At 43.1% G+C, this 6,000-nt stretch overlaps 1 protein-coding gene across 2 annotated transcripts in view; it reads left to right on the forward strand.

Annotated features, from left to right (window-relative positions):
- Nucleotides 1-1,428, forward strand: part of CFAP54 (cilia and flagella associated protein 54) — a 385,979-nt gene extending 384,551 nt beyond the window's left edge. For both annotated transcript variants that reach the window (NM_001367885.1, NM_001306084.2), the window contains one exon: nt 991-1,428. The gene's annotated coding sequence lies outside the window, so the exon portion shown is untranslated. The remainder of the gene's footprint in view (nt 1-990) is intronic.
- The last annotated feature ends 4,572 nt before the right edge of the window (nt 1,429-6,000 follow it).

Consider the following 6,000-nt stretch of genomic DNA (forward strand, 5'->3'; position numbering starts at 1 on the left):
AGAAGTTTAATCGAATTTTAAACTTAACATGATCAAAATCCTCTAGGGAACTCTGCTTCCTTAAAATGGGTCCAGCTCCAAGCAGTCAACAGGGGCACATTGACACTCCCGTGGAATTGATCTCAATTCCACAGGATGGTATTTCAATGTTTTTTACATTTCTAATATGCATATAGTGTCAAAAGACAAAATTCCAACAAAGTTAGTTATAGATCGAATTTGCTTTTATTTGCAATTCATGAATCAGGGACAGCCTGCATTCTGCAGAATAGAATGAGAGCTCCTGCTGGACAATGGCACAACAGTGAGTTTTGTAAGGTAGGAACAAGGAAACAGAAGAATAGAAAATAAAACCTGATTGGTTAATATCAGGTTGCTTTTTTGTAAGAGTTAAAACAGAGGGACTTCCTTATTACACTCACTCAGGTAAACTGGAATCTTCTGTTTTCAGGAACAATTGTTCTGTTCTGTTTTGGGATCTCTGCTTTTTTTTATTTTTATTTTATTTTTTTTTTTTTTTGAGACGGAGTCTCGCTCTGTCGCCCAGGCTGGAGTGCAGTGGCGCGATCTCGGCTCACTGCAAGCTCCGCCTCCCGGGTTCACGCCATTCTCCTGCCTCAGCCTCCCGAGTAGCTGGGACTACAGGCGCCCGCCACTACGCCCGGCTAACTTTTTGTATTTTTAGTAGAGACGGGGTTTCACCTTGGTCTCGATCTCCTGACCTCGTGATCCGCCCGCCTCGGCCTCCCAAAGTGCTGGGATTACAGGCGTGAGCCACCGCGCCCGGCCGGGATCTCTGCTTTTTTAAAGTTTTGGTTTGATGATGTGGCATTCAGCGTTAGTGACTCCATTATGGTTTGGTCAGGTCTGTTGAGGACTAGCGCAGGAGCATAATTTTTGGTTAACAGGTGAGGTGAAATGAAGTATGCACTTTCTGAAATGAGGAAAATTATATGAAATTCAAGGTATTACTCTTTTTTCCTCCTCTAGGGATGATAAAACTGAGAAATAAATCAAGAGTATGACAACAGACTGAGGAATTTTTCAGCAATATCTGTCAGCCTTTGGAAATTTGGTGAGAAGAAGTAGTCATGATTCAATGTCTTGCTTGCACAGAAGCCTCTAGTTCAAACTTGGATCTTGCCCCATCTGATTTCTTATGATATATACAAATACTCTAGATATTGCTTTGAGATTTCGCTGTTGATCAACTGGCCTGCTGCAGCTTCATAGGTGTTTCAGCTCCCAGTAGGGCAGTTTAACTCCTATCTTCTCTGTGAGTTCCAGGTCTGTATATCTCCTCAGCTCGCTCTCATTTGTCCAGCTTATCTATTTCTTTATCAAGTTGCTTTGGCTTCCCCACTCTCTCCTGCGTTTTGAAAAGAATTAATTCTCAAGTAGATTAAAACTACATTCTGGTAAAAATGAGCATGCATGTGTATTTAGTCCTTCATTTATTCAATATGCATTTTTGGAGCTTTGCTCTATATTAGACATAGTTCCAGGCTCTAAAAACACAAAGATCCATGAGCTGTGGCCCATCCCTTAAGATGCTGATAGTATATTAAAGGCAACAAAATGTAAACTTACAATTCACAATACAACAATGCAGATAGATGTTAACATGAAGCCTCCACAAAATGTTTTAGGAAGACAGGGAAATAGCAAGGATTCACAGAGGAGATGATGCAGTAACTATATTGGGGTGGTGGGGGGCGGGGGCGGCGGGAAGAGGGAAAGAAGACAAAAACAAAAATCCCTAGTCCAAAATATTGTTAGTTGAGCCACGAGATGATTACTTCCAGGAAGAAATATTGAGAAGATGTATTGGGTAGATGAAATACCTAATGAGACCATAAATGACGAGAATTGCCTCTTATAGCATTTGAGAAGATAATTTTTATCAGATAATGAAATTGTTTTCAGTCTTCAGAATGAAAATGAATCCCTTGCTAATGCAGATCATGCTAATAAAGGAAGTAAAAGAGAATCTTAGAATTATACTTGGCTCATGATAGGCAGAAACCAACCTAAATAGCCTAGGAAAAAAGAGAAAGATAATAAAGTAATCAAAATAATTGCTTACTAGGGAATGTGAAAGATCTGCAATGTTAAATTATAAATGTACATTTGCATGAAAAATGAGGTGACCTTAAGGAAAAGATTAGAAACCCACACTCATGCGAGTTAGAAGCAATGCTTTTCATTAGCGAAGCTGAGGATTAATTAAATCCAGGGAAATTCTTTGAAATCCACAAGTGTGAGTTACATTTGAATACAATACAACGGGTGTATTGGTATCATAATTAATGATTAGCATAGACTTCTTGATTAAATGTATGTGGAATAGTTCAAATGGCAAATGTGAAATAAAGAGGACAAAAACGTGTTACTTAAAACCAAAATTGTCTTAGCATGGTCTGCTTTCAAAAGTGTGGGAGTGGAAAAGTTAGTTTATCTAGTGGGTAAACAAATATATTGTTCCCCTTCCCCTTTGAGGTCTCCTAAAGACCCATTCTAAGCATAATGGGGACACCGTGTCCCCTCACCAACCTCTCCAGGAAGCTAGGGAGGATGAAGGACAGGAGCGGCTTATCCATTATTTTTCCATTATCTCTGAATGTTTTGCTTCAGCTGAGGGATTTTAGAGACTGGTAGCAGAGAAAGGAGAAAGAAGCTGAAGTTGCAAAGCTTCTAACAGTTCTTAGTGCTGCTCAAGGGTGAAGCTTCGGACAAAATGGTCATTATTGACAGAGCACCTTATGTATAGATACGTAGAAGCCCTGAGCAAGTGGGAGGTGGTTTCTAAATTGTTTTATAGGACAAGGTAAAGGGAAATTAATTTCTTGGGGAGACTCATGGAGAAGGCCAATGGAAAAAGGAAGAGCCTGGAGGGAAAATAGATGAGAAGCAACTGAGAGGCATAAAGCCCCCTTCCTCTGCTACACGCAGATGCCTTCTGTGAGAAACAGACACATGGCTGGTCCATGTTTAGGGTGAGTCAGGGAAGAGCCTGAGCGAGGAAGGATGACCCATAAACTGAACCAATTGAGAGTCATAGAGGCTCTGAGTCAAAGGTGATATAAAAATGCTAAGCCACATTTCAATCCCAGAGTGTCAGAATTACACAGGGCATGCAGTAGGCAGAAATCAACCTGCAGAGTCTGGCGGGGAGGGCAGGTGACAGTGATCCTGCTGTGTGTTGGATGGAACTGCAACCAAGTCTACTCCTTAATGATGGGTTCACTCACCTAATATTGCATACTGAAATACGGTTTTTAGTTTTGGCTTGGCTGTTACTTTAGTGTGACATATAGATTTTAAATATGAGTTTGGTTATGCTGCACAAGGACCATTTAGAGATGCTGTTCTCAGTCAAATTTAAAAGATGTCTATAAATTTTACAAAGCAAACACCAAAGTACCTTATCAAAACTCTACAACTTCAAAAGATTCTATTCTGAAAATCTTTGCAGAAGACAGGAATAGAAACATATGTAATTTTTTAAATGTGTTTTTTAAATGCAATGGGAAGTTATTTTCTGACAGCTAGAATGGAAATTTGCATAGTGATTTCATTTGTTTAAATATTTTGTTTTCCCTTATCCCTCTAACCTGTTATTTTACTCCAGCCACTACCTTTGGATGAGCTCTGTCCAATCTCCCTTCTTTACTGTGGGTATTTTCTTGCCAGGATCCCCATAATGTTTTCCAGTCACTTTCAATATATGGACAAGTCCCATTTTGGGAGTTAGGTTTACTTCCAAGTATTATGAGGTCTACTCCAGTATAAATCAAAATTTCAATCTTACATCCAATTCAAAGATTTTTTTTTTCGCATTTGTGAGGCCCAGGAGGACACAAGCCACATGAGATAAGGGTAAAAGTCTCACATGACTTATGCCCTTAGAGCTTGCTTGTGCCCTCTGAGTGGCCCCCAGATGTGGATCCCTCCCATGGCCCCTCCCTGGTCTTCATCGCAGTCCTAGGTGCCCCCCAACCAATGGTCCTGGGAGAGCCAGGGAGAATCTTTGGGTCCATCCGGAACTATGCTGGGACGTGGGCATGTCTCCTGAAAGGAACAGTGCACTTCCAGCTGACCTCCTGCAATCCCTGCTCAGCTTCTACATCCCTGCCCTGTGATACACCCACAGCCTTTTACTGTGGGGTCCCCTAGTTCCAGAAGGCTGCCCTCTTGAGTGGGATTCCTTCAAGATGCTCAGAGCTGGTGTCCCTTCTGTGGCATCCTATCCCACCAAACACCGAGTGTGCAGGTTGCCCACACCACTGCCTTCTATCCTTGCCTTGGGCAGCCTTCCACCTTCAGAATTCTGCAGGCAGGAAGCACACACTCCATGTTCACATACAGCCCCAACCTCAAGAGATAAAAAATCCTTCTTCCCAACATCTCTGCCCACACCTGATGGCCCCAGATGAAGCTGACAAGTGATTACAGTCTTTCCCTGTTGCCAGCACTCTGGTCTCTACTGTGCTACCCTCTAGAGCCCTCAGTTTTGCAAAGAGAACACTCTTCTCCATCACCCCCAACCCAAGGAGAGAGAAGAGAAGAACAAAAAGCCATAGCACTCCACTCCCAACAAATTCCCTTGTTAAATGAGCTCTCATTTGCTTGCATAGGATGTGTGGGGTGGCAGGAATGAGTGAGGTGGGAGAGCAAGTATGCCATTTTTTGGCAAGTCTTGGAAGGGGGTGATGGGAAGCTCTTTTTCTGCATTCTTTAGAGTGGGAATGGAATAGAATGTGATTAACCACTAGTCTTATCTTTGGGGCTTAGCAAAAATTCTGAGAATACAGAAATTCCATTGCACATGTTTTTGTAATCTTATACCTCATAGCCTCTAAATGTGACTCATTTTAAAGACAGTGAATGTTAGGTATAAAACAGTTTGCAGATCATTGCACAGCCTTTAAAGTGTGAGCGGCAGAGACCAGAGATTCTGCCTCTTATCTGTTCAACTCTGTTTGATGTACCCCTTCTGAGGACCAAGAACAAGATAGATATGGCCCTTGCCCCCTTAGAGCTTATACTACCGGGAATGACTGCTAATAAATACACAATTACAATAAAGTATAATAATGCTTTGATAGAAGAATCACAGCACAAACCAGGAGCCCCTAACTTAGGATGAAAGATTAGTATGCATGAGGGCAGGCTTCCTAGAGGAGTCGCCTTGACTCTTGTGTCAAATACAGATCCTGGTTTGTCACCTCAGGTTCTCTCAGTCTTTACCCTGGACTGTGCTGCCAATGCGAGGGACCCACCACTCAGTGGCCCTGAGAGTGCCAGGCCCTCCCTCTTGGCCTCTGCCACTCACCTAGAGATTGCAGCTGTTTGTGGTGACCAGGAAATGCACCACTCAGATCTCAGGCTGAGCGGAATGGAAGTGACATGACTCCAGCTTCTGCATTCTGAAACCCCACTGTGTTAGTGCTGATGCCTGCCTCCCCAGTCTGTGCCCAGCCAGGGACTAAGTGGTTCAGGGATAGCAAAGCAGGCCCATATCTGTGAGATGTGGGACCCTTCTGCGGGGTGACTTGGGCACTGTGCTTCCCCATCAGCCTAGTGCCCCAGGGAACTTCCTTCCCTGTCTCTATCATGGTTTGACATTCCCTGCTTTCTCAAGTTCCTTCCCCTTTCTCCCGTGCAGTTGTTTCACCAAGTAAATCTCTCGGATATCTAATCCAGATTTTTTTTTTTTTTTGAGATGGGGTCTTGCTTTGTTACCCAGGCTGGAGTGCAGTGGCGTGATCACGGCTCATGGCAGTCTGGAACTCCTGGGCTCAACTGATCCTCCCACCTCAGCCTCTCAAGTACCTGGGACTACAGGCATTCACCATCATGCCAGGCTAATTTTTTGTATTTTTTGTAGAGATAGAATTTTGCTATGTTGCCCAGGCTGGTCTCGAACACCTGGGCTCAAATCAGTCTGCCCTCCTCGGCTCCTAAAGTGCTGGGATTATAGGTGCAAGCCACAACACC

Source organism: Homo sapiens, chromosome 12 (genome assembly GCF_000001405.40).
Source record: "Homo sapiens chromosome 12, GRCh38.p14 Primary Assembly".
Taxonomy (NCBI): Eukaryota; Metazoa; Chordata; class Mammalia; order Primates; family Hominidae; genus Homo; species Homo sapiens.